The following is a 27,927-nucleotide window of genomic DNA, read 5'->3' on the forward strand; positions in this document are numbered from 1 at the left end:
GAGTTGGGGTAGGAGTGTGCCTTATTAACATAATCTAATGTCAAATTCTGCTACATGAACCTATGTTACTGGGCTCACCACAAGCTTAAAATCGAAATCCTGCATTAGTTTGTCACTTTGAATACGTTTCCTTTTTCAAAGGGCCCTGTCCAAATCTCACAAGACTGTTCAGACTCAGGAACCATTAAACACATAAAAGCACCTCCTAATTACTTCCTTATCTCAAATGTCCTGCCTGTTCTTTGCTGTTAATAGACGAGTTGTTAGAAACTAAAAATCCTGACATTATCACATGGAAAGAAAAGTAGTTCAAAGAAAAAAAAAAACAATAGAACACAAAGTTCTTTGGTGAAATGCTGATTTTGAGAGTAACATAGACAAAGCAGTTATTCATAAATCTGAGGTAATATTCTTTTCACTTTTATTTAAAGAAATGCTATAGTAGCTGAAACTGGAGTCTACAAATGTTTCCTTCACATGTCATTTTTTCCTCCAATTCAGATACACAGACTTATGATTATAAAGTTCTTCAGAATGCATAAGGTTTTCCATTTTACAATAGCAAGCATTTCCACATTTGTTTTGGAAAAGAAATGTTTAGAAAATTTTGTGAATTCTTCTAGTCAGTAAAGCAATAATGAGGCCTAGGAACATGAAGATGACCAACGCCTCTCCTTCACCCACCTTTAAGTACCACCACAATCAGTTTGGTTCCCTTTTTCTGTAATTCATGTGTGAATTTTGTTCTAAGAGAAATAAGATGAAGGGAAAGAAGTGGGTGGGCTGTTATACAGGGCTATACAATTTGGACTAAACAGTCTTGTTGAAAACTTGCTATGTGGCCAGGCATGGTAGCTCATGCCTGTAATCCCAGCACTTTGGGAGGCCAAGGCAGGAGAGTCACTTGAGGTCAAGAGTTCGAGACCAGCCTGGCCAACACGGCAAAACCCCATCTCTACTAAAAATACAAAAATTGGCCGGGTGCGGTGGCTCACGCCTGTAATCCCAGCACTTTGGGAGGCTGAGGTGGGCTGATCACAAGGTCAGGAGATCGAGACCATCCTGGCTAACACGGTGAAACCCCGTCTCCACTAAAAAATATAAAAAATATAAAAAATTAGCAGGGTGTGGTGGCGGGCACCTGTAGTCCCAGCTACTCGGGAGGCTGAGGCAGAAGAATGGCCTCATTCTAGTGAACCAGGAGGCGGAGCTTGCAGTGAGCCAAGATCGCGCCACTGCACTCCAGCCCAGGCGACAGAGCAAGACTCCGTCTCAAAAAAAAAAAAAAAACAAAAAACAAAAAAAAACACACACACAAATTAGCCGGGTGTAGTGGCGCAGCCCTGTAGTCCCAGCTACTTGGAAAGCTGAGGCAGGAGAATCGCTTGAACCCGGGAGGCAGAGGTTGCAGTGAGCAGAAATCACACCACTGAACTCCAGCCTGGGCGACAGAATAAGACTTCGTCTCAAAAAAGAAAACTTGCTGTGTGCTGGGCATCCTGCCCCTGCTGGGTTCAGCAGGGCAGGAAAGTTGTGGGTGGGGATGGGGAGAGGGAAACTGCATGTACAGAGATACAAATACAGGAAAGACCATACAGTTTATTTTCTTAATTTGTAGTTTGTAAACTTTTGAAAATAAGAACTCCTTTTTAACCTGTGTTTCAAAATGTTGGCCCCCACATAACAGTAATTGTCTTTTTGTCGATTTTGTTTTCTAAACTTGGGACCTATATGAAATCACAGATTCCTTACAATCACCCCACAGTCCCCAAAGGCTGCCCCTCCTCCAGCCCCAAGATCTGGGGCTGAGACATCCTTGTTGTCTGTTCATGGATGGGTAGTGTTGTGAGTCATAGAACAATTCCGTTGCAAATATGGTCAGCATTAGGCCCCCGAGTCTCACAAAAGACTGGGTTGAATTGGGAAATTTTTCTGCCACCTTAGCACAAGTTGCAAAGCCAAGAACTCTATGTCCAGATAACAAGGCAAATAAGATGAAATTCAACCAAGATGGGAGAAGAGTGACATGGACAAGGGGAGTAGTTCTCTTGCACCCTAAAGCCTACTATTTGGGGAAATTTATGAAGTTTGGGGAACAATAAGGCCAATAACAAACCAAGGAAGACGTGAAATCCTCATTTATCTTCCGTTCCACCACACCCCCACCCCTGCCAAGGAGCCGATTTCACAGAGGTCAATGCTGCTCAGATTTTTTTGTCTGCTGCCCTCTCAAGATTTCTTTTTCTTCAATACTTTTAACCGTTGTGGAAATGAGGTCAGTACTCTGTGATTGTCATTTTGTTCCAAATTCTTGAAATATTTTATTATTTACAAAGGTTTCCCTACTGACTTAGGACAGGAAAAAATATGAATGTGAAAACCTGAGTCCGAATAATAAAAATTTCAGTTATCATGGCTTTGGTTAAACCAAAGTTATTCCCAAAGAGTTTTTCAGAAATATTTAAGGAACAATTTTGAATAATTTTATTTTGACATATTAGTAATCTAGTCATTGCTAAAAATTCAGAAAATACCACCAAAAAGGTACAAAGAATAAAACAAAGATCTCTCCTAATTTTACCACCCCAAAGCACTCTGTTATGTTTTAGAATCTATCTTTCCAGACTTTTTTCTATACATACCCACATTCAGACAAACACCCACATTTTTAAAATGGGATCATAGTATTTTTGACAATGTCAAGAAATCTACCTCCTTCCTGTAATATTATATTATGACATCTTTTCATGTCAATGTATATAGATCTACATTCTTTTTAACCACTACATCTTATTTTATTGTACCAATGCACCATAATTTAACTCATTACTTAGTAAGATGTATTACGGTTGTTTTCTATTTTTTTACTATTATAAGGAAGGTTGAGGTAAGCATCCTTTGACACACATCTTCAAATGTACATCTAGTTATTTATTCCTAGGAGTGGAAGAGGTCAAACAGTTTGCATATTTAAAATTCCAATACATGTTGTCAAACAGCCTTGCAGGAAGCGTACACTGATTATACTCCCACTCCCAGGATACAAGAATGCCTCTGTCTCCACCATGCCAACACTGGAGTTTGGCTTTTTTAAAAAATCTTTGCCATTAATAAACAAACGAAGAAAGAAATGTATCTTATTAGTTTTGTTAGAGTGAAATTGACTATAGAGATTGAATTTATTTTCCTATTTTTTAACCATTAGTGATATTTTCTATTTATTTATTTATTTATTTACTTATTTATTTATTTATTTATTTTTGAGATGGAGTCTCACTCTGTCACCCAGGCTGGAGTGCAGTGGCACAATCTCAGGCTCACCGTAACCTCCGCCTCCCAGGTTCAAGTGATTCTCCTGCCTCAGCCTCCCGAGTAGCTGGGATTACAGGCATGTGCCACCACGCCTGACTAATTTTGTATTTTTAGTAGAGAGAGGGTTTCACCACGTTGACCAGGATGGTCTTGAACTCCTGACATCATGATTCGTCCACCTCAGCCTCCCAAAGTGCTAGGATTACAGGGGTGAGCCACCACGTCCGGCCGATATTTTCTTTTTAAAAAATTCTCTGTGCCTTGTGGGGTTTTTCTCCCTTAGGATTTTTAATAACCTTTTGCATATTAAGAATATTAACTCTTAGTTTCTGTAGACTATAAGTTCCATGAGGGCCAGACCATCTTCTTAATCACCGTATACATAGCCAGCCTCTAGTGTAATGCCTGACCCAGGATAGATAATAAAAAAAAATATATGGAATGACTGACCTTGCTCATCATATATGTTCTAAGTTTATTTTCCCCGTTTTCTGTGTTTCATCTTATTTTTTTATTTTTTCCCTTCCAAAAGTTTTTAAACTTCATGTAGTAAAAATCGATATATTCCTTCGTGATAGATGATATTTAAGTCATATACTTCACATATCAAGATTATGACAATCATAGCAACAACTATTTATGTGATACTTCATGTGCAAAGCCTTTATATATGCTGTTTTACATATGCTTTACATATACTTTTGCAAACCCTTTACATATGTTCATTCATTTAATCCTTGTAACAAGTCTTTTGTGTGGTCAAGTATGTCATACCAATGCCTCCCCACCCCAACACCAATAATTCCTCTTTTTTTTTTTTTTTGAGACAGAGGCTCTGTCACCCAGGCTGGAGTGCAGTGGCACAATCTCCGCTCACCGCAAGCTCCACCTCCCAGGTTCACACCTTTCTCCTGCCTCAGCCTCCCGAGTAGCTGGGACTACAGGCGCCCGCCACCACGCCCGGCTAATTTTTTTGTATTTTTAGTAGAGACGGGGTTTCACCGTGTTAGCCAGGATGGTCTGGATCTCCTGACCTCGTGATCCACCCACCTTGGCCTCCCAAAGTGCTGGGATTACAGGCGTGAGCCACCACGCCTGCCCTCAATTATTCCTCTTTAAAAAAAAAATGGTCTAGCTATTCTTCTTCATTGATTTCATTAATTTTGATATATAATGTGTTTACATTTTCAAACTCAGAAATAGGAAAGGGGATGAAATGAGATGTCCCTCTCTCCTTTAGTTTCCCATTTCCCTTCCCAGGACACACTGTGTGTGTGTGTGGGTGTGGGTGTGTGTGTGTGTGTGTGATTTTTCCTTTCTTTACAGCAATCATAGCATGCTATACACATTGTTCTGCAACCTGGTTATTTTATTTCAGTTAATAAAATATCCAGGTGCTTTTAAACTCATTTTGTCAACTTTTGATTGTGACTGAGTTAAGTTTATAATCATGGAGTGGGGCGCAGTGCCTCATGCCTGAAATCCCGGCAATTTAGGAGGCGGGAGATGGGCCGACTGCTTGAGCCCAGGAGTTTGAGGAACAGTCTGGGCAATATGGTGAAACCCCATCTCTACCACAAATACAAAAAAATTAGCCAGGCCTGATAGCATGCCACCTGTGGTCCCAGCTACTCAGGAGGCTAAGGTGGGAGGATCGCTTGAGCCTGGGAGGCAGAGGTTGCAGTGAAGGGAGATCATGCCACTGCACTCCAGCTTGGGTGAGAGTGAGACCCCATCTCAAAACAAAAACAAAAACAAAAAACGTAAATGTGGGGGCAATTTTCATTTTTAAAATATTAAAACTTTCTATTCAAGTATATGTTATTTCTGTTTATCTCCAGCTTTCTTTGTCTTTCAATAGACTTTTTAGATTTCTTCTTACAAATCCTATATTTTTCTTAAATTTATTTCTGAGTAGTTTGTCTAATTTGTTTTCTCAACCTTATGTAATAGGCTGGAAAATAATATATATATTTTTTTTAAAATTGCATTTACATGATTACCAATGAGACTGAAGTCTTTTGTATGTTGATTGATCATTTGCATTCTCTGTAAGTTTGGCCTCTCATCCTTTTACATCTGAATGACAGAGAAGGCTCAAGAAGGCCCCCAGGAGAACTAAAATTATTATTCAATACATGAAAAAATCTAACTCATTATTCCCATCAAAAGCAATATCTCTACGTTACTTCACCGTTTTTGTTAATAGAATAACAATTCTCCATTATTCAGTCTCAAAATCACATAGTCTTCTTTGATACCTTTCTCCCTCACCCCCTATTTTCCTTCATTTGTCTAAAGTGATAAAAAGGAAAAATCTACCATGGAAATTGATCTTGCTTCTCACTCCCTTTTATTGCCACAAGTGTGTTTGCGTTCCCCATACCTTTGCCGAGTGATGACTGACTCCATGGTCTCCCTACTTTCTCTCTCTTCCTTCTCCACCTGAATTGAGGGTAGATCAAGCATAGATCTAATTATGATCTAATTACGTTCCATCGTTCACTAAACTTGAATGGTATACCTCCACCTTCCAAATTTAGTTCACATTGCTACCTGCTTCGTCTTGTCTCCCACCACTATCCTACATTTTTCCTACAGTTCTGCAAAATCAGCTACTTCATGTTCCCTAAATATGCTCTATCTTTTCTGACTCTCTGGTCTTTTCTCCAGCTATCACAGACACCTGAAATGCCCTCCCGTTTTTCTGTCAATTGAAATTTCAACTCTTGTTCAAGGTTCATCTGGAATATCACCTCCAATAACCCTCTCCTGTGATCTTCTCCTCTCGAAACTCCCAGAGTAACTTAGTTTCTCTTAAACTGTCTACCCGTTTTATTATTGCCATTAATAGTTGTTTGAAAATTGTTAAAGCACAGAGAATATGTCTTGCGCAATGGTATGGTGAAGGGACCCAGTGTATGGGGTCAGAAGATCTATTCAAAGCCCCACTGTTCATTTACTAGTTGTTTTAGATTATGTAAGTCATTTAACCTCTTAAACCTCCCTATCTTTAGTTGTGAATTGGTAGTAGTAGTAGTAATGGTACCACTGTCAATGCTAGTGTTAGTAACTGGTTTATAATTAGTAAATTTTGTATGCCCCAAATTCCTATCACATTTGTGCTTTACACCCATGTTATCAATATGCCATGTTCTACATTTAGCAATATTTTCTAAGATCTTATATTGGAATCTAGTCTCAAAAATGGAAACCATCATTGTTGGCCAGTTGGGAAGATAACAGAATTTTTAAATAACAGTTTGATAGCTATCCAAAGGTGAAGAAGAACCTTAAATGTATTGACCACCCAAGCTCAGCTTAAAGATAGGTGATGTTATGACAGATTGTAAATAATTGCCAATTATGCTGACCAATACCATTCTGATTTTTATGAAAGAGACTACAATATGTCATGAAAGGAAGGGAGAGATGAGAAGATTAGCTCATTCTAATTCCTTCTGTTTTCAAGTCTAGTCCTGGCGCAAAGGGTAACTGAGTAGGTGAACAGGACTGCTGATTTCTCATGGACCCCACTGTTAGTATTCTCTGAAATAAATTTTTTAATTGTTCATAACAACTTCGGGTGCTTCTCCCCACAGTGGCATCACACAACACATACATACCACATTTTGTGCACATAAGAGCATGCGCACATAAATTACCTCATTTATGTTAGAGAAATAAGATAAAAATGAATGAATGATGCTCTTCCTTCACATCACATCAGTTGATATCTCCTTTCCATGTGCTTTTTTTTAATTTTTTTGTATTTATTTATTTATTGAGATGGAGTCTCACTTGTCACGCAGGCTGGAGTACAGTGGCACAATCTCAGCTCACTGCAACCTCAGCCTCCCGGGTTCAAGCCATTCTCATGCCTCAGCCTCCTGAGTAGCTGGGATTACAGGTGTGTGCCACCACGCCCGACTAATTTTTGTACTTTTAGTAGAGATGGCGTTTCGCCATGTTGGCCAGGCTGGCCTCTAACTTCTGACCTTAAGTGATCCACCTGCCTCAGCCTCCCAAAATGCTGGAATTACAGGCATGAGCCACTGTGCCCTGCCTCCATGTGTTTTGAAACCGCTAAAATTCTTTGCTTTTCACATATTTGAGAGGATGGAGGCCACCACAACCTCTCTACCGCTGGGTGAAAAATTCTATATATTGATCATGTACAACACGATGTCTTGTACAACACAAGCTTGTGGAATGGCTGAATTGTGATAATTAACATATCATCTTACACAGTTATTTTTTATGGTGAGAACACTTAAAATCTACTCTCTGATTTTCAAGAGTACAATATTGTAGTCACCATGTTGCATAATAAATCTCTTGAACTTATTCCTCTTATTTAACTGTAATTTTGTATCCGTTATCTCATCCTTTTGTACTCTCAATTTTTCACCTTTGAATTTTACTCTCAGCCTAAAAATATGGCCGTGGCTTCTTATTTCCTGCCTAAACAGACGTTTTTTAACCTTACAGTTCCATCAGATTACCATCCTCAATCTTTGCCACCTAATATTTTAAAATATATGCAGATATATTTTAATTATTATTTTTATTTTATTTATTTTTTTGAGACAGGGTCTCACTCTGTCACCCAGGCTGGAATGCAGTGGTGCAATCATGGCTCACTGCAGCCTTAAACTCCCACGCTCAGGAGATCCTCCCACCTCAGCCTCATGAGATCCTCCCACCTCAGCTCTCTCTCTCCACAGCTCCTAACACTGTTGGCCTTCCCGAAACTCCATCTGTTGCCCCTGATTTCTGTACAATACATGGCCCAGGTTTGCCTAGCTTGCTGACCGTGCCTTCCCTGTTTGCACCTCTCCGTCCAGGGTTGCTTTGTGGGCCCTCGTCACCCTTCCTCTCCTTTGGCAATCTCATGGCTTTATTTATTCTCTTTCTGCAGATGACTTCCAATGTACATCCTCAACTTTGATCTTCATTCTGAGCTCCAGTCCCATGTTTTCACCTGCTGGTCATATCCAGCTGGACGTCTCTTTAGCATCTCAAACTGAGGACTATTACAAAAATCATCTTTCCTCCCATAACTTCTTCTCTTCTCTTGTTCCCTAGTCATTTGGCTCAAACCCTCAGAGTCATCTTTAACTCTTACTTCTCCATCTTTGACTCCCTGACACTTGTTCCACCATGTAGACCAGGGACTGATTCAGGAATGAGCATGCAATCCAACTATGGCCTAGGAGATGGGAGAGGAAGGGAAAGGAATTCAGTCAGGAGGTGTGGGGAGCAGTTCTGGGAAACATTTTCCCTCTCTTAAGATGATCTCTCTTCTTCTGGACATTATGGCTTGGATGCTTGGAATGACCACTACCATCTTCCATCTTACTATTAACCAGACAGTGATGCCTGCACCCAAGATAGCAAAGCAGAAATGGAAAGGACCTGGTCCTGGATGATATCATTGAGTTTCTCAATCTTTCAGACTTGAAGTCTATGCTACTTTGGAATTTCCAAATTTCCAAATTTGTGAGATATCAAATTCTTCATTACTTAAGCCATTACAGATTGGGATTTAAGTTTAAAGTTAAACACATGCAATAGACCACACTATATTAACTCTTCATTATCTCTCATTTGGGCTATTACAGTGCTATCTGGTCTTTGTGCCTTCGAACCTAATCTATTTCATGTACCTGCTAGATTATCCTTCCTAAAGAATCATTTGTTCATGTTGTCTTGTCCAAAGACCTTTATAAACTTCCTAATGCCTAGAGAACAGTCCAGGCTCAGCAGCTCAGCATTTGTGGTTTCATAAATCCCTACCCTCCCTCCTCTACCTACCTTCTGTTAACAGATACACAGAATGAAGTGCTCTCACAGATATCGGTCCCTTTTCTGCTATGTGCATGTTTTCTCTGCCTGGAATACTCTTGCTTTTTGCTTCACTTTCACCTGTTTATATGCAATCTTCTTATAACTTTCCCTGATATCTCTTCCACTTCCACCCTGTGCAAAGTAATCCCTCTTCCCCTAAGTTTCAATGGTATTTATTGCCAGCTACCTTGTATCAATGCTATTTATATAGTGCAGTCTGTTCTACTACAAGCCCTGTTCCATAGAACAGATGGAACACATGGTTTATGGAGCACTTGAAATGTGGCTAGTGCAACTGGAAGTCTGAATTTTAATTTTGTTTAACTAATTTAAATTCAAACAGCCCCAGGTAGCAAGTGGCTACTGTATCAGGACCTTACTAGACTAAAAAGCTCTTGAATGTAGTCCAGGAACTATATCTTTTTTTTTTTTTTTTCCTGTAGTGACTACACAGAGCACCTGAAAGCCAGTCTTGTTTTTTCCTTTTTATTTTCTCCAGTCTTGAGGATAAAAGACACTGAATATTTACTGAATCAATAAATACAGAAATCACATTTACCAAATACACAAAGACTCCTAACTATTTTTGTCCCAAATCCAAATAGATTAAATAAGGAAGAAGAAAAGGCTGAATGACCAAAATTCTGGTTACTCAGAACAGAGGGACAGTTCCATTGTAAAAGGATCTATCATCTCTCTATCTCATAACAGTCCTCCTCTTAGTGAGATAAAGGAACTCTCTGAAGTTTAAAGCTCTTGGGTTTTAAAAACTATTTACTTAGCAATAATTTCACGCTTACCAAAAATTGCAAGAACGGTACAAAAACATCCGGATTCACCAATTTTTAATTGTTTTATTTTAAAAATAACCCAGATTCACCACCAAGGTTTAAATTGTATCAATCTCTTCTTTCTGTATATGTGTGTAACAGATGTGTGTATGTGTGTATATGTATGTATTTTATTTTTTTCTGAACCGTTTGGGAGAAAATCACATATATCATGTTCTTTTACCCCTTAATATTTCAGTGTGTTTGCTTATAAACAAGGATATTCTCATGCAAACATATTCAGGAAATTTAACATTGATACAATTCTTTAATCTACAGCCCATATTCCAATTTCGCCAATTATCCCAATAATGTCCTATATGACATTTTTCTCCTCCAGTAAAGGATCCAGTTCAGGGTCACATATTGCATTTCGTTACCATGTCTTTAGTTTTTTCTAGTCTGCAGTCTTTGTCTTTTATGACATTGGTCATGATTTAAAAATACAGGCTAGTTATTTTATATTTTATTTTCCTCTACTTGGGTTTGTCTGATGCTTCCTCATGACTACATAGCTCTAAGTGCACTGCTGGTGCAAGGATGTATTTGTTATATGTACCTTCTTTGCCCCCCACTGGTTTTTAGACTTGACCTGCTCAAACCTATAATCTATAAAGCATTATATTTCTATTAAAATACGTACATGTACATTCCATAAATTTTTTTAAAAATTTGCATAAAATACATCATCCTACCATTTCAAAAGCAATTGTTGCCTCTGTACTTTATAATGGTTTCAAAGACAAGTGAAATTTACTTAATGGATTCAGTTTATCTAAAATTATTTAATCAATTATTTTATCATTGAGTATGGAAATAATTCCTCAGAGAACTGCTGTAAAGCGTTAAAGTTAATGATTTCTTCTCGCCAGTAAAACTAGAATCTTCCCAATTTTGTAAATCCTAATTTTACTTTTGCTTCTCTTAATGGTATCACCAATGGAGAATAATTAAATTCCGATATTGTAAATCATAAGTACTTTCAGCTTTTGAAGTGGCAAAGTATTTGAATTGGTGCTATAGCCCAGACTTCAGGTATTTTCAAAGGATGAATGAGGAAAAAGGAAGTGGGGAGAAAGAACTTTTAACTGTGAGGAAGGCTCTACTATTTAAAAGATGGTTTAAAAAAAATTCTCACTGTAGCTACAGTGCTCACACTGGAAATAAAAGTATAAAAATGGTCCTTTAGGATTTTTCTCTGGAGTAAGAATTGTTTCAAGGAAGAAACTGCCAGGGATATGGACATTTTGGACAGGGGCAGAAAAATGCCCTAGTGTTTTGGACACCATGGAAGCGCTAGAATTTTTAAATAAATATTTCACATTGTGAGAAACGTCTGAGTATTAAACACGCTTTTTTTTTCCCTAGGGGGACACTAAACAAATATTTATTTAAGGAGGTAGAAACTTGAAGGCCCCCCCTCTTCCCGCAAAGCTAGTCTTTGGCTCTGCTTCTAGGACTTCTAGGAACGTGCAATTAAAATAAAATCGAAACAACGAAACCCTCGCAGCATTTAGATTTCTTTTTTCCCCCTCAACTGCTCAAGAAAAGTCAGAAGCCGACACTTTTTCCAAGTCTCGAAGTTGCCAGTTGTGAGGCTCCCAAGACGTCTCCCGCACACCCTAGGGACGATTCTGCACGGGTCCCTCCCGTTAGCCGGCGGTGCGATCCGGCTCCAAGGGGGTGTGTCCCGGACCGCAGCGACCCGGCGCCAGCCTCCGCCGCGGGCCCACCTGCTCCTCTCGGCCGCCGCAGCGCCCCGGGGTCCGGCCGGGCCCCCGGACCCCACCCGCGCGGCGCCGCCGGCCGCCCGGCAAGTCCCGCCACCCACTTCCGGACCCGGCCAGCCCCTCCGCTAGGTGCAGCTGGGACGCGAGCTCAGTTCCTTTCTTCCCTCAGCCCAAACTGCTAGCGGCCCCCGTGGCGGGAGGTGGAACCCGCAACCTACCCCCAAGGATGGGGGGCCCAGGCGGAGAAAGGGGGTCCCAGCCCTCCCCGGGCTGCCCGCACCGGCACCCCCCTCGCACGGCCCCAGCGGCGGCCCGCGTCCTCCCTCCAGCCCTAGCAAGACAGGCGTAGAGACTGCGAGTGTCGGGGGAGGGGTACAGGTCGGAGGAAGAGCATCCCCGGGCCGCAGCCGCAGCCGCCGCCGCCGCCGCCGCCTGCTGCTCCCCCGCCGTTCGGCTAGGGGAGGCCTCGTCACAGCCGCCGCCTCAGCCGCGGCTGCAGATCTCGCGGTGTTTGCCGGCCGCCGCGCCGCCATATTGTGTGACAGTATTTTGATTTGGACTGGGCTGGCGGAGCCGCGGCGAGAGCGAGCGAGAGCTGGGGGGGTGGGGGGAGGGCAGGCGAGCGCGAGGGGGGTGGGGGCAGAGGGAGGTGGGGAGGCCGAGCGAGCCGGAGCTGAGGATTGGGGAGCGGCGACGCCGCCCAGCCGTCGTTTTTGATCTGCTGCAGCCGCCGGCGGGGCGACCCAGCCCGACCCCCTCCCCTCCCCCTCAGCCAGGAGCGGTGGCGGCGGCGGCGGCCGGAGGGAGTTGGCGGCGGCGGGCGAGCGGAGGGGGCTGAGCGGGGAGGGAGGGAGGGCTGAGGTGTCCCCCCTGCCGGGTGGAACCGGAGGCGGCGGCGGCGCTGGCGGCGGCCGTGGTGGCGGAGGCGACGGTGGAGACGGCTGCCCTAGTGGGAGAGGCGGCGGCGGCGGCGGCCGAGGAGGAGGAGGGGGAAGCGGCGGCGGCAAAGGGTAAGCGGACAGCGCTGCCGGGCCTCGGCGGGATCCCCAACCTGGCTCTCCCCTCATCGCCCCGCACCCCCCTCCGTCTGGAAGGGGCTCTGCCGCCTCGCGAGGCCCGTGCGGGGCGTTCGCTTCTAACTTGCACTCTTCCTCCCTCCGCCTCTTTCCTTCCCCCAGTGGCGTGGCGGAGAGGGAGGCCCCCCGAGTCCCCCAGTCCGGTGGGGGTGGGGAGCATCGGGCCGGGCCTGGGCTCCGGGGCGTCCGTGCGGGGGGGGAGGGGGAGCTTCATTGGAATCGAGCGCCTAGGAGAGCCCCGGGTGGGGGAGGGCGCAAGGGGCTCGGGAGGGCCCCTCCCTGCGTCGGCGCCCCTGACCCGCCCCCAGGCATGTGTGAGGTGGGGGCGGGGGAGGAAAAATCTCCTTTTGGGGAGCCGAGGTCTAGTTAAAGATGACTCAGGGGCGGGGGTTTTGGGGACAGACACGGGGCAGTTATGTGGGGGTCGGGCGGGAGGGAGAACATCGTTCCTTTGCGGATCTTGGTTTTCTGCAGCCGTCTTTGAAGTGGGGGGCAAGCCCTACTATGAATATGTGGCCCCTTAAATTTCACTGGATGTTTCTGGTTTTCGGTCCCATCAACCTCAAACCCTACGATTGTGGTTGAGTCAGGGAGGCTGCAAGGGTCTCTTGGCGGTGCTGAACAGGTGACAGGTGGATCTTTCTGTTGCTGATGCTGTGAGATGTTCAGGCACAGTCGTACACCAAAGTGTCAGAGACCGTGTGAGTTTGTATTTATGTGTTTGGCCATGTTTCATTCCATATATAGTATATTTGAGATGTTAGGTTTCCATTCTTCAAGTCAGCTTAATTGTTGTGGATAAATTCTTCAAATGTTTCTGATAAGAGGGTTTTCCAGGAGAGCGGAGGGAATTTGCAGCCTCACAGGGGTTTCTCCGTAGTTCACGAAATTTAGGCCCCCAGTGCAGGCTGTTGAGTACCCTTATTCATTGGAAAGTTCTTGAACGCTAAGATCGTATTCAGAGCAACTGTACGGCAATATAATTTTGCATCCATTTTGTCTGTTTTAGGTAAGTTTGTAAAGTGTCTAATTTTGGGGTCAGATTGATTCACATTTTAGAAAAGGAATTTCGTTTCCGCTTTAGCATACTCTAAAGGTTATGATGATCATTATGCAATTCCAGATTTGGCCGGGAATTTTAGTGGGCATGGAATAGAATATTTGCTTTCAGTTTTTTCACTTCTGCTTACTACACTGTTCATACAGTAGCAGAGTATTGACACCTTTTAAAAAATATCTTTACATTCTTTGTAACAATGAAATCACGATTTTAAACTTTTGACGGTTTGAAACTGTAAATTTTGAAACCATGGCAGTTTGTAATAAAGGAAGACTTGCTTTTCTTTTGTTGTAGGCTTTGGCTGAGCATTTTAATTAGAAACAATGGGAAGAATTGTTAGATACATGAGCTATAGGCTAAATTAGGGTACAGTTAGTTTAAGGATTCTGCTGCTTTAAAAAAACATGTATGGAACGAATATGATGTACTATCAATGTGTTAACAGGAAATAGAACAAAAATTCCAGTGATTCAGAACTTCTGTTTGGGTTTTTCCCCCATAGGTCTAATCAGTTTCTAATAGAGGGTGCTTAAGTTTTAAATCTTTCAAGAATCAAACTGAAAGTTGAATACGTCAATTATAGATGAATAAGTTATCCCCTGAATATACTCCATTATTTCTTTTTTCTTTTGTGTGCATCGAGTTACTTTTCCTGAGTTTAAAAGTATTCTCTTAAGGACACTGATGAAATGCTACTATTGAACCCCCTTTAGTTAACTATTTCATAGTAGAACGTGTGCTTTAGTGACTCATTAAGAAGTGGATAAAATGGTCAGAACCTCATCAAATACATGTTTTTTGAAAAATAAATTTTAACTTAATCCCGTTTGATTGAAATCACACCTATGCTTGGTCCTCTAGTGGAAAAAAGCGCTTGCCTTCAGCTAAGGGTATTGCTAAGACTGGGAAACAATTTTTTTTTAATTTTGTTTTTGTTTTCTTTGTTTTTTGTTTTGAGACAGTCTCGCTCTGTCACCCAGGCTGGAGTGCAGTAGTGCGATCTTGACTCATTGCAACCTCTGCCTCCCGGGTTCAAGGGATTCTCCCGCCTCAGCCTTCCCAGTAGCTGGGATTACAGGCGCTTGCCACCACGCCCGGCTAATTTTTGTACTTTTAGTAGAGATGGAGTTTCACCATGATGGCCTGGCTGGTCTCGAACTCCTGACCTTAGGTGATCCACCCGCCTCAGCCTCCCAAATGCCTAATGAAATGAGGTTTTTAAACTCCGCAGTTATGTAGGCAGATCCCCACTTAGGTCAGTATTGAGAATTGCTTCTTTAGTATTAACAACTTACACTTGGTTAAATGTCTTATTACATTTGTGTCTTGGCAGAAATAGAAGTTTATTCTACATCCGTAATTTTCCCAGTAAGGAAAATTTCTTTTCCCAAAATACTGTTTAGAGTGAAATGTACATATGTGTATCTGTGAACCTACTGCATTTTGAAAAATAAGTATAATGTAGGCTGTTTTACTCTATGAGTTACTTGCAAAAAAAGTCCTTGAGGAATGTGTATTTTCTAAAACAGCATTTTTTTTTGAGTTATATAAACAGATCAAGACTAAAAGTTTATTTTTTATCATACTTCAGAATTTTTGCCTTGTTATAGATATTTTGGGGGAAAGTTCCTGATAATCTTTATAATATATAAAGTTCATAAATTAAACTGTAATTGAAAAATCCAAATTATAATTCCATTATATCTCTCTCTGGCCAGGTTCCCATGACCCAGAGAACACTAGTAGCACTTTTCCTTTGTTTCACTTATGTCATCTTTATTTGATCTAACATTGGGTCTCTCTAGAATGGAAGGATTATGAGGTAATAACAGAGGCACATGTGAAGATTGGGCAAAACAGTAATAAGGAGGAGGAGAGACAGAGGATAAGATGCTAGCAGAGAATTAGATGAAAAGTTTTAGGCAGCTAGGAATGTGGAGATGTGGGTAGTGGTGGCTGCCAAGCACAGGAAAATGATCATGCTGAACTGTACAAAGGAGATTGTCTCTGAACCTTTTCATAGGTTCTGACACTCTATATATGTCATCTTATTTAAAACCCTCTGTATTAAAATGATAAGGATTTGGAGACATTGAAATTATATAGAATTTAAATGTATGCATGTTCATATGTTTTTGCCTCTGGCTCATATTTCCAGAATACTTAACAGTATTTTAACATTTTGTTTCTTATGATTCTGGTCCTAAAAAATCAAGGACGCTGCTTACTCAGAAAGCTAAAAAACCTGAGTAAGTACTCTTAGGAGTTATACTTTTTATGTTTTCTTTAGTTAATCACTAAACTTGACTGATCTTGATAAAACTAAGGAATTAGAGATTGCTAAGAGGGTACTATCTTTTTCTAAGTATTCCATCTCTCAAAACAGCCTATTTACTAGTAAGTGGTACTTAACCTACATTCATTCAGCCTCCTAGGAAAAGAAAAAGATGCCAGAATAATGATCCCACAGCTCCTACGTTGAGGTTATGCGTTTCACTTGGATTTTCACTTGGATTTTTATTGACTCATTTTACAGAATATGTTTACTTTATTTCCTATTCCTTAGAAAAGGAGTGAGCAGAGTGAGAAGTGTCAGCTGACAAGTGATGTTTCAGGACATCCAAGTCAGAATTATCACAAAGTAAAATTGTGTATGTTATATGAATAAAAGATGTCTATGAAAATTGATTAAAGTTTTGGCACTTAAAAGTACATTTGTTCAAAATTTAATTTACATACACCCCCTTACCTTTATGCTTCATAAATGAGGCTTTGCTGAATGTGACTTTTTGATTTGCCTTACTCATGTGTAATGTAAAACTTTAATAAGAAATTTTATTTCATTTCTAATCATGTATTCCAGTTCAGAATATGGTACCCAGGGAGTGATATCCTGCATAATAAAGAGAAAGGAACTAATATTTATTGAATGCCTACTGTGTGCCAAGCTTTTCTTCATTTCAGAAATATTTATTGAGCACTTATTATGTGCTAGGGACTCTTCCAGATGCTGGAGGTGCCGTATTGAAGAACAGACAAAAATAGCTGTTTTCATATAGTTTACATTTAGTGGTAAAAGACTTAATAAATGAGTACAGTGTAATATGCCTGGGACAAAACAGTACTGTGCAGAAAAATAAAACGGAAAAGGGAGTTAGGGAATGAACATTGCTTATTGAGCTTTTTTAAAAACTGTGTAATGGGTATTATCCTTGATTTCAAAAAGCAAAACCTATCCCATACATAAAATTTTTCCTTTAAGAATACACTTCAAATTTCAGAACACAATTGTATTTATACTTCAAAGTTACAGAGTTTCAACAGCGATTTCCTATTGTTAGTATTTCAGAAAGCTGTTTTATGGCTGGATAGAAAATCGGAGTTTTTAATCCTGGTTTTGCCACTTAGTAGCTTTGCCACTAGATTTGGGATCAGTTAAAATTCGTTAGCTTCTCTGAGCTTGTTTTCTTCTGTGTAAAATGGATACGATATCTTTCTTTTTCTGGTGAAGGAACATTGTGTCGTATGTTGTTGAATAGGTTGATGAGCTGGATCTCAGCATTTTAACAAGGAAATAACAGTGTATAAAATTCCAATTCATGTAAATACTTTTAAAATATTTAGTACAGTACCTGGCACATAGTAACTATAGAGTAAATGTTTGCTTTTTGTCATCATTTTGCTTGTTAATTCAAAGAATCTTTTATACAAATTATTAAGGAAAGTTTTTGCAAAGATAAAATAACTCAAATTGTGAATGGGATTTTTGAGGGAAGAGTGGAATAACCATGCAAGTTGCAATACTTATTTTCATTTTTAGACTGGAAGATCACGAAACAGCACCTCAAGTGCAGAACATGTCTTCCTTTCAGTCTTTACTTCACATTATTTTCAGTGGTTGGCCTGTAGTTAAGAGCTCAAGAAATACTGTGTGTTAAATGTTGAATAGTTCTTAATGATCATTTTTCTGTAAATTACAGCTCTTTTTGTAGTAAACTCCTGAGTCTGAAAGGTGACTGCACTGGAATCTCTACTTTTAATTTTAAGCACTGAATAAGATATCATTATGCAAAGTCTCTTAAATGCTATTTTGTGAATCTAGCCAAAAGTTCAAAAAATATTCTAGAAATTGAGAGGAAGAAATCAATTATTTGTAGCTAGATTAGTCTTCATTAACCTATTTCTATGATGTTATTGGCATCAAAGTGAAAAAGTAATATAGCAGTTTTTAAAAGAGTAGAAGAAAATTTATGAATAATTATTTGCTCTTAACTGTTAAAGAACAAGTTTACCTTATCTTTTTAAGATAATTTCAATGAAAGTGTAGATTTGTCCTGGTTTTATGGATTAAATAGCTTGGTCGTTTACTTACATTTCTGTGATACAGGAAATACTGGTGTTTTCACTGAAAAGTGAAAACGTCCCACCAGCATCCCACCTCCCATCTTCACAGTATTTTAAGCATTCTTCAGATGCCTAAATCTTAGTACCAGTCAACTCTTTCCTGTTCTGCTGTAAGTTATCCTCTACCTAAAGAATAATAATTTTAGCTTTCCCCAAACTTAAGACTTCTGTCAGGTTATGAGGCTTTCAGTCATTTACCCAAAATATTTCTTGGATTTTTAAAAAGTTCTCCACAAAGCATGTATCGTGTGCTTTATATTCAAATATGAACAAATAGGATGAAAAGTATTTCATTTTAGTATTTGATGTGCCACAGTACTACTTTAGAAATGAGATAGGAATACATACAACTGAATATTTTATACTCTTGTAATTTTTTTTCTTTGCTTTTTTTGAACAATAACTGTCTACTACAGGACAGAAATAATTCCTACAAGGTGTCAGTTTGAGTGGCTTCAGAAAGGAAGTCTGATTTACCTACAAACAAGTACAAGAGACAAGAGCAGTATAAGAATTTGTAGTATTTTAATTGCCTTGTTAAAAGAAAATGGAATTCTTGTTTCACTTAAGAAGAAAAACAAAAACCGGCCTAGTACCAGTGCTCCTAGTACAAGTCACAGAAGCCAGATAATAAAGTAGAGGTTGGAAAGGTCCTGCAGAGAGAGAGAGAGAGAAGCAGCAAGAGTATAGGAATGGGGATTTTAGCAGAGATTTTGGTAGAAATGTGTGAATGCCGATTGTTAATAATAGACTTGTTTAAAATAATCCATTAAAATGTGTAGGAAAGAGTAATTTTTGATCTATAAATTTTTATTCACCAGTTTATTAACCATCATCTGAATCATTAAATAATATTATTAATATTATTTTGAATTTTAGCTTAAAGTTTTACTCTCACATTGATATTAAGGAAAATTATTTTTGACCTTTAATATCTTAATGTTTACCTTTTTTAATGTTAGCAAAATTGAGCACATCACAAGTTTGCTTCCTGTCAGTTTGCCAGTGAAGCAGGCCAGAGATATTGCTTGGCTCATCAGTATAGAGCCAGTGGCAGGGCAGTTCAGGGGAGTGACTTTCCATTCCTCATCAATGAGAGAAAAATACTTGCTAATGCAGATGAAAACTTGAACTCAGCAACTTGACCTTGCAGAACATTGTCCTCAGGCCAAGCAACTTTTGTTTAGTCAGAGAAATCAACAAAAGCAGTAATTCTGATATGAACTGGGGCCATAGGGGTAGAAGAGACTTTACCTGGTTTTAAACTGTGGAAAATATTACTTTTTTTTTTTTTTTTTTGGAGTGCAGTGACACAATCATAGCTCGCTGCAATCTCAAACTCCTGGGCACAAGCCTTTCTCCCACCTCAGCCTCCTGAATAGCTGGGACTACAAGTGTGCGCAACTACATCCAGCTGATTTCTAAAAATTTTTTATAGAGACAGGATCTCCCTTTGTTGCCCAGGCTAGGAAAATACTGCTTTTGGTTTTTAGTTGATCTCTTTGTTAATTTTTCAGCTTCTCAGCCCCCACCTCTTTAACTAAATATCTTAATTTTACCGTGTTGGGAGTCAATGAAGTATAATAAAAGTTCTGGGCTTTAAAACCAGATGAGCCCAAGTTCAAACCTGAGTTCTGTTGCTGACTATAGCTATGTGATTTTAGACATCATTCACACACTCTGAGCCAAGGAGTTTTCTTCAGAAAAATGGATATAGTAATACCTACCTTACATAGAACAGGTGAATTCTTGTTCTAGTTACATTAGGATATGTAGCTTAAGTAATTGGAAGTAATTTTACATTTGGAATTTTGCTTCGTTAGGTTTTTTCTTCAAGGTATCTGTCCACTTCATTTTTCCTCAACAAATAGAATGAAAAAAGAATTTCTGTACTTTTTAATTTACTGTAACTCCTTAGACCAAGATGAAACAAACAAAACATCATCATTATTTTTTTAACTACAAAATAAACATACGGATTGTTAATTCTTTGTATTTTTCTTGCCTGTTCCTGTGGGAAAAGCTGCATTTTCAATTTGAAATTAGTCCACAAATCTATAATATAGTTCTTCTTTAGGAAAAGCATTAGAAAATTGGCATGGATAAGATTTTGAAAACACCTCAAATATGAGGTTTAATATAATACTACAAAACTTGTGCCACTTTATCTGTGTAAAATGATCTTTATACTTTTCTGTTATGTTTATGTTTTAAGACAGTGTCTCGCTATGTTGCCCAGGCTGGAATGCAGTGGCACAACCACAGCTCACTGAAGTCTTGACCTCCCAGGCTCAAGTGATCCTCCCACCTCAGCCTTCCAAGTAGCTGGGATTACAGATGCGTACCACAACGCTCAGCTTACTTTTTATTTTTTGTAGAGAAGGGTTCTTCCTATTTTGCTTAGGCTGGTCTTGAGCAGCTAGGTTCAAGGAATCATCTTGCCTTGGCCTCCCACCTAAGTGTTGGGATTATAGGTGTGAGCTACCACACCCAGCCTGTTTTAACAGCAGCTATAGCAATGGTTTTATATTTTGTTAATAAGTTATCTGTATTGCTATAGTACCAAGAAGAGTAAACAAATTGTATTATTATGTTAAAATATTGGTTATACAAATAGCATTCAATACTAATTATTACAGCAAAATAGTCTACAACAGTTACACTGGTTTACTCAGTAGATTAAGACAAAAATTTTTAGCCTGGGTGACAAAGCAAGACCCCATCTCAAAAAAAAAAAAAAAAAAAGACAGTTTAAAAAAGTCATTGCATTTTATTAAGTTCATAGGCTTAGCACATTCTGTAGTGTATATACATGAAATCTCTTAGCCTAGAGGTAATAAATATGCTTTAATCTTACACGTGTGCAGTTTTTATGCAATCTGTAAAATAAAACCAGAAGCACAAATAGGAGATTGAACCATTAATCATTGGATAAATGACATGTTATCATGGCAGAAAGAATTATAAGGTACATGTTGGTCTTTTCAGCCTTGTGTTTTTGTTATTATTTTTTTTTTTTTGAGACGGGGTCTTGCTCTTTTGTCCAGGCTAGAGTGCAATGTTGCAATCTCAGCTCACTGCAACCTTTGCCTCCTGGGTTCAAGCAATTCTCCTGCCTCAGCGTCCTGAGTAGCTGGGATTACAGGCGCCCACCACCCTGCCTGGCTAATTTTTGTATTTTTAGTAAAGACAGGGTTTCACCATGTTGGCCAGGCTGGTCTCGAACTCCTGACCTCAGGTGATCCACCCATCCTCAGCCTTGCTTTTTTAAGCGGTTTTTAGCTTTTGCTGTTGGAAAAGTCAACATGTAGAGTGAAGTATTATGCACAGAAATTTGATTTTTGTTTTGATCAAATGCCATTATTTAGAAAACCTAACATTTTCACATCCTTTTGGATAGGTCACTTAATATCAGTAATAATTAGGTCAGCAAATTAATTTTGCTTTTTTGTAGTTTGCAAGAGTTTATCTTATGTTCAGCAAAGCTAATAATTGCATAAAAATTTAAGTGGGAGAAACTGGCCTTTAAATATTAATATTCAGATCTGTGGTACAAAGCCTATTATACAGATATTTGCTTCCACATTCTTGATATCCTATGGACTATTTTGTCTTTTACACTTTTCTTTTATACTAGCATTTCCTGATTGTAGGTTTCTATTAGGGTTGTCATCATTATAAAATATAGGCAAGATGGTCGTTTTTTAAAAATTTAAGACAGATTAAATGTTCCATTTAATTACTGAGCACAAATTATGTCATAGTTGCCTGGTTAATTTTATTGATTTATTATTTATTTGTTTAGAAATGGGGGTTTCGTTATGTTGCCTAGGCTGGTCTCGATTTCTAGGCCCAAGCCATCCTCTTGCCTCAGCTTCCCAAGTAGCTAGGACTACGTATGGCATGCCACTGAGCCTGGCAACTTGGTTAATTTTTAAAAGGCAATTAGTGACCTGATAAACATGAGCGTCTGCTGTTCAGAAGTTAAGCAGCTGTATGTTGCAGATGTATGTAGGTGTCACAGTTAAGTAGTTACTAGAATTGTGAGAAAATGTGCTCAAGGAACCATCCAAGGGATCCGTGTCAAATAAAAGTTGCTAGAAATACAGATATTTTATAATTTGCATTGAGAGTGACTTACTGTTTACCCCATGATTAGCATGTACCTGAATTGTACTTGACTAAAGTACTGCTTGCCAACTCTTAGGATGATTTTATAGGAAATGGAAAAATAAGCACATGGAAATGGGGATTTCAGAAGAAAATTCCCACTTCCACATATGGCGATTCTGCTTTTTTGCATATAAAAGTGCATTGACACGTGTTGAATGCCCTTTGAGATTGTCTAGCTAAGGTAATTGTTTGGCCTGCATGAGACATACTCATTCTCTTCATGAGATTTTTCCCCTCATGAACATTGCCATACATTTAAAGGATGACAGAGCCATTGCTGTAATTTTGCAAGTGGAACAAGAAGTAAGTGCTCTTGTTGAAGGTAATTAGTTCATTACCTAATTGAAGTTAGTTCATTACCTAGTTGAAGTAATTAGGTAGAAGATTGAAGTGGTCATCTTAACCAAACCAAGCTATCTATCAGTATATCAACTTTTATAGAATATCACATGATCGAAAGAACAGAAACTCCATAGAGCGTATTTCATATGTCTTCTATGACATGCTTGTGCAGAATAGCTGGCTAACCCAAGAAATCTTGCCTTACTCATTCTTCTATTGTGTCTCATCTCTACATTCTGTTTGTTTTGTTTGAGAGGGAGTCTGCTCTGTCCCTCAGGCTGGAGTGCAGTGGTGCAGTCTCAGCTCAGTGCAACCTCCACCTCCCAGGTTCAAGCAATTCTCCTGCCTCAGCCTCCCAAGTAGCTGGGACTGTTGGTGCGTGCCACCACGCCTGGCTAATTTTTTGTGTGTTTAGTAGAGACAGGGTTTCACCGTGTTAGCCAGGATGGTCTCAATCTCCTGACCTTGTGATTGGCCCGCCTTGACCTACCAAAGTGCTGGGATTACAGGCACGAGCCACCGCACCCGGCCTCTACATTCTTTATTATTCAAACTACCTTACTTATCCAATAGTTTTGAGTTCCTGCTGTGTGCCTGTACTTTGCTAGGTCAAAGGGGTGGACAGATATGTAAGATACAGTTCTTGTCCTTAAGAGACATATATACAAACACATGTGATATACTGTGACAAATGCTGTGACGGGGTTAAACATAAAATACTTTAGGAATCCATAGGAGGTAGTGTCTCCTATGGATAAGGATTAGGCAGTATCTCCTATTCAGTAAGGGATGAAAGGATATGACAGGGAAATCTTCCTAGGAAAGGTGACACTTAATCTGAGTGTATATCAGATAGGCAAGGAAGAGAGTTACAGGCTGCAGATAGGTCTTTTTAGATAGAGAGAAACACCATGCATGAAAGATGGAGGTAGGAAAGTCCACATGTACACAGTAACTGTGTGTAGTTCTACAGTGCATTAGGTACCAGTGGTGGGTTAGCTGGAAGTGAGGTGGAAAATTAGAAAAAAGACAGAGCATCGAGATACCTGTATACTCCATAAAGGAGATTTAACTTCATCCTTCAAATGGATGGAAGACAAGTTCTTAAATTAACATTCTAGAAAGATTCTCTTGTTGTAGTGCACAAAATACCTTAGAAAAGAGCCAGACTTGGGAGGAAGAGGCAGGCATATAAGTATCTATTTGAGAGTTGATTAGGACCCAAATTAAGGCACTGATAATGGGGTAATTAAGAAGAATAGGTAATGTGTTTGAGAAGGAAATAATTGAATGTGACATAAAGCAGTGAAGATCACACATGCCCTGGGTGCATAGTTGTGATGGTGATGTTCACCATTACAGAACAGACCAGGGTTGCAACAGGTGAGGAAGACATTTGAGTTCTGTTTGTTGATTTTAAGGTTCTATGGAGGGAGAAAGAGGAAGACTTCACTTGATATGGAGGAGATAGAGAATGCTTGTCTTGATTAGATAACATTTGAGCAGGTACATGAATGAAAATAGAGGCAGTAGCAAATGCAGTGGCCTTTAAGTGGGATGTCCTTGCCATCTTCTAAGAGCAGGAAGGCCAATATAATTGGAGCTGGGGGGGGCGGGGTTGGGGGGTGGAAGTAGGGTAGATGGTATCCAACTGTGTATGCTGTTCATGTAGGGTGTTTAGACTGTGATAAGGACTTTAGATTTTACTCAGGATGGGGTAGGAAGTCACCAAAGGGCTTTAAGATAAAATCTAATTTGTATTTTCCCCCTCACTTCTTAGAACATTGTTTATTTATTGACATTTGTATGTGTGTGGTTCTGTAACATTATTATGTATATGTATAAATTCATGTGACCTTCACAATTAGGTTATAAAAACTGTTTCATCATCATAAAGAGACTCCCTTGTTTTACCCCTTAAGTTTCACCTTTCCTTCCTGGCAACCACTTACCTGCTTCTGTTCTCTATCACTATAATTGTCACTTCAAGAATGTTACATAAATCGTACGTGATGTTACCTTTGGAGATGGGCTCTTTTTTTTTTCACCCAGTATAATCCCCTTGAGGTCCTTCCAAATTGTTGCATTTATCAATATTTATTCCTTTTTAATGCTAAAGAGTTTACCATTGTATGGATATACCACAATTTGACTTTGGAATTTCCAACTTTGGGTTGTAAAAATAAAACTGCTGTGAACAGGTTTTACAGGATTTTATGTGAAAATACGTTTTCATCTCTGTAGGATAAATTCCCAAGAGTGCAGTTGTTGGGTTGCGTGATAAATGTATGTTTAAATAAGAAACTGCCAGACTTTTCCAGAGTAGCTGTACAATTTTACATTCCCAGCAGCAATATGTGAGAAACCTACAGTTTCTCTGCATCCTCTCCAGCATTAGTATTGTCAGTATTTCTTATTTCACCCAGTCTAATAGTATGTAGTGACCATTAATTTGCATATCCTTAATGGCTAATGATGTTGAACATATTTTCATGTACTTCTTTGCTGTCTACATATCCTTTGTGGTGAAATGTGTTCAAGTCTTTTGCTCATATTCTAATTGAATTGTTTTGTTTTCTTGTTGAGTTTAGAGAGTTCTTTACAAATTCTATATCCAAGTCCTTTGTTGAATACGTGATTTACAAATACTTTCTCCTAGTATGTGGCATGTCTTTATAGTCTCTTAACAGGGTCTTTTGCAGAGCAAAAAATTAGCTTTGATGAAGTTCATTTTGTGCATTTTTTTCTTTTATGGATTGTGCCTTTCTTGTCAAGTCTGAGAACACTGGCTAACCTTAGGTCCCAAACAAAAAAGACTATCCTTCCTTTATTGAATTGCTTTTGTACCTTTGTCAAAAATCAGATAGCCGTAATTGTGAGGATCTATTTCTGGATTCTCTGTTCTGTTCCATTGATCTTTGTGCCTGTCCCTCCACCACTACCACACTGTTTGATTACTATTGCTATATAGTAAGTCTTAAAATTAGATAGTGAAATTCCTCCAACTTCATTCTCCTTTTTCAGAATTGCTTTAGCTATTCTAGTTCCTTTCCATGTAAAATTTAGAATCTGTAAAATGTCAGTTTCGGGGAAATTGACATTTTTATTTTGTTGAGTCTTCAATCCATGAACCTGGTATATGGTATGTCTTTTATTTAATTCTTTTATTTCTTTTGTCAGCATTTTTTAGTTTCTAGCATAAAAATCCCGTGCATGTTTTGTTAGATTTATACCTAGATATATATTTTTTAGAACAATTGTAAGTGATACTGTGTTTTTAATTCTGATTTCCAATTGTTCATGTCTAATATGTGGCAGTATGGTTGGTTGATTTCTGTGAGTGGATCTTATATTTTGAGACTTTGCTAAATTATCAGTTTTAGGAGGTTTATTTTGTAGATTCATTGGGTTTTCTGATGTGCCTGTGCATAGAGACAGTTATTTACATTTTTTTCTTCCCAATCTGTATGCTTTTTATTTCCTTTTCTTCCTCTGCTACTTGCAATGCTGTTTCATAATAGTGGTGGGAGCTGACAAGCTTGTTTCTGATCTTAGTGGAAAAGCATTCAGTCTTTCACCAGTAAGTATATGTTAGCTGTAGGTTTTTTGTAGATGCTGTTTATCAAGTTGAGGAAGTTCCCTTTTTATTTGTAGTTTGTTAAGTGTTTTTATCATGAGTAGGTCTTCAATTTTGTCAAATGCTTTTTTCTACATCAATTGATATGGTCATATGGCTTTTATTCTTTAAGCTGGTAGCTAGTGGTTACTTACCTTTTTAAATATTCACTCTGCTGTGTGTGGAGTAGACTTTGGAGATAGAGCAAAGATTTAAACAGGGAAAATATATTAGAAATTATTGTCATACTTAGATGATGGTGGCTGGGACCAGGACAGTAATAGGAAAGGGTGAGAACAGATCAGATTTTGGATATGTTTCAAACTCTGTGTGGGAAGGAATTGCTGATGAATTGGATCTGAGGCATAAAAGAGAATTCAAGGATGACAAGAGATTTTTGGCGCAAGCAATTGGAAGTATGGAGTTGCCATTGACTCAGTTTGGGAGCATGGTAAAGTAGCAAGTTTAGACTGAGCAATCAGGAGCCTTTTTTTTGGATGTGTTAACTTTGAAATGCCTTTTAGACATATAACCAGTGATATCAACTGGGCAATTCATTCGGTATAATGGAATTCAAGCAAGAGATTCAGACTAGAAATATGAATTTGGGAGTATCAGTGGAGTTGATGTGAAAGAAGTTATAGTGGTATTTGTTTAAAACTATACCTGTGACTGCTTTCTAGTTACTGTAATTTCAGATTTATTAGCAAAAAGCCAGACTCTTCTAACATGTGAAAGAGCTTTGTGAAAATTTGGATTAGTTCTGCTGTGTATGTGACATGAAATGCAACAGAAATTTTGTAATTGGGAGGTGATTTGGGGATGGATATTTAATATGTACTTAGTCATACTTATTTGATAGGTAAATGGCTGTTAACAGTGGTCATCTAATAGTGTCTTACTAATTTTTAGAGCTTTGCCCTAAATCTTTATAAAATGAAGTAACTACATGTTGTGGAAAGGGTTTGACACTTATTAAGTGCCCGAATGACTTTCTGTGGCAACATTTATCTTACAGATAAAAACAGCCAGAGAGATAAATGAAAAATAAAGATGAAAAACAGGAATGTAAAATAGCTGGCAAGGAGAGGCTTAGAGCCAGAAATACATCAGTAAAGGGAGCAGGTCAGTCTTAGTCACAGAGAATTTGTAGAAAGACATGTCTCCTGAGTCCCACTGTGATCATGTGTACTTTAAATTCATGTAATTTGGAAAATTTTTTAAATGCCACAAGTTTTTTCTGTTGTAACTGATTATTAGCTCCAATAATATTTCCTTATTGATAATTTATATCTTTCTAGCACTTCGTTTTATTTACCCCCATTGCAAGATTGCCATGTGTATTATAATTATCTGTTTACTTTTCAGTTTCTCCCACTAAATGTCAGTTTTTATAGCATGAGTACAATACCTTGGCGCTTGAGCGCTCAGTAAATATTTGTGAATGAATGGACACAGACTACTAGAGTTTAGAGCTAGTAAACTTGATTGTTTTCGAAAGTAAATGAGCTTTTGGGATTCTGGAGTACAGGTT

The 27,927-nt window shown here is 39.2% G+C and overlaps 1 protein-coding gene across 9 annotated transcripts in view, besides 6 other annotated features; it reads left to right on the forward strand.

The window, feature by feature from the left end:
* Positions 1-27,927, forward strand: part of TAB2 (TGF-beta activated kinase 1 (MAP3K7) binding protein 2) — a 193,682-nt gene that overhangs the window by 87,358 nt on the left and 78,397 nt on the right. For 2 of the 9 annotated variants that reach the window (NM_001369506.1, NM_001292034.3), the window contains exon 1: positions 12,429-12,732. The exons of 1 other annotated variant lie outside the window; for it this stretch is intronic. The gene's annotated coding sequence lies outside the window, so the exon portion shown is untranslated. Of the gene's footprint in view, positions 1-12,428; positions 12,733-13,016; positions 13,107-13,403; positions 13,500-13,721; positions 13,808-15,191; positions 16,108-27,927 lie in introns of those variants that run through there. 6 more of the 9 variants (XM_047418487.1, XM_047418489.1, XM_047418486.1 and 3 more) reach the window with 4 other exon arrangements.
* Positions 11,572-11,641: a silencer, noted in NCBI's record as "silent region_17658". NCBI's record gives its function as "represses an Ori minimal core promoter by ATAC-STARR-seq in GM12878 lymphoblastoid cells {active_cell/tissue: GM12878}" and the evidence as "EXISTENCE:reporter gene assay evidence [ECO:0000049][PMID:35858748]".
* Positions 11,692-12,231: a silencer, noted in NCBI's record as "silent region_17659". NCBI's record gives its function as "represses an Ori minimal core promoter by ATAC-STARR-seq in GM12878 lymphoblastoid cells {active_cell/tissue: GM12878}" and the evidence as "EXISTENCE:reporter gene assay evidence [ECO:0000049][PMID:35858748]".
* Positions 12,322-13,221: a silencer, noted in NCBI's record as "silent region_17660". NCBI's record gives its function as "represses an Ori minimal core promoter by ATAC-STARR-seq in GM12878 lymphoblastoid cells {active_cell/tissue: GM12878}" and the evidence as "EXISTENCE:reporter gene assay evidence [ECO:0000049][PMID:35858748]".
* Positions 13,312-13,491: an enhancer, noted in NCBI's record as "active region_25252". NCBI's record gives its function as "activates an Ori minimal core promoter by ATAC-STARR-seq in GM12878 lymphoblastoid cells {active_cell/tissue: GM12878}" and the evidence as "EXISTENCE:reporter gene assay evidence [ECO:0000049][PMID:35858748]".
* Positions 13,652-13,761: an enhancer, noted in NCBI's record as "active region_25253". NCBI's record gives its function as "activates an Ori minimal core promoter by ATAC-STARR-seq in GM12878 lymphoblastoid cells {active_cell/tissue: GM12878}" and the evidence as "EXISTENCE:reporter gene assay evidence [ECO:0000049][PMID:35858748]".
* Positions 18,776-18,976: a silencer, noted in NCBI's record as "peak6211 fragment used in MPRA reporter construct". NCBI's record gives its function as "represses an SCP1 promoter by STARR-seq MPRAs in K562 erythroleukemia cells {active_cell/tissue: K562}" and the evidence as "EXISTENCE:reporter gene assay evidence [ECO:0000049][PMID:32103011]".

Source organism: Homo sapiens, chromosome 6, assembly GCF_000001405.40.
Source record: "Homo sapiens chromosome 6, GRCh38.p14 Primary Assembly".
In the NCBI taxonomy this organism is placed as follows: domain Eukaryota; kingdom Metazoa; phylum Chordata; class Mammalia; order Primates; family Hominidae; genus Homo; species Homo sapiens.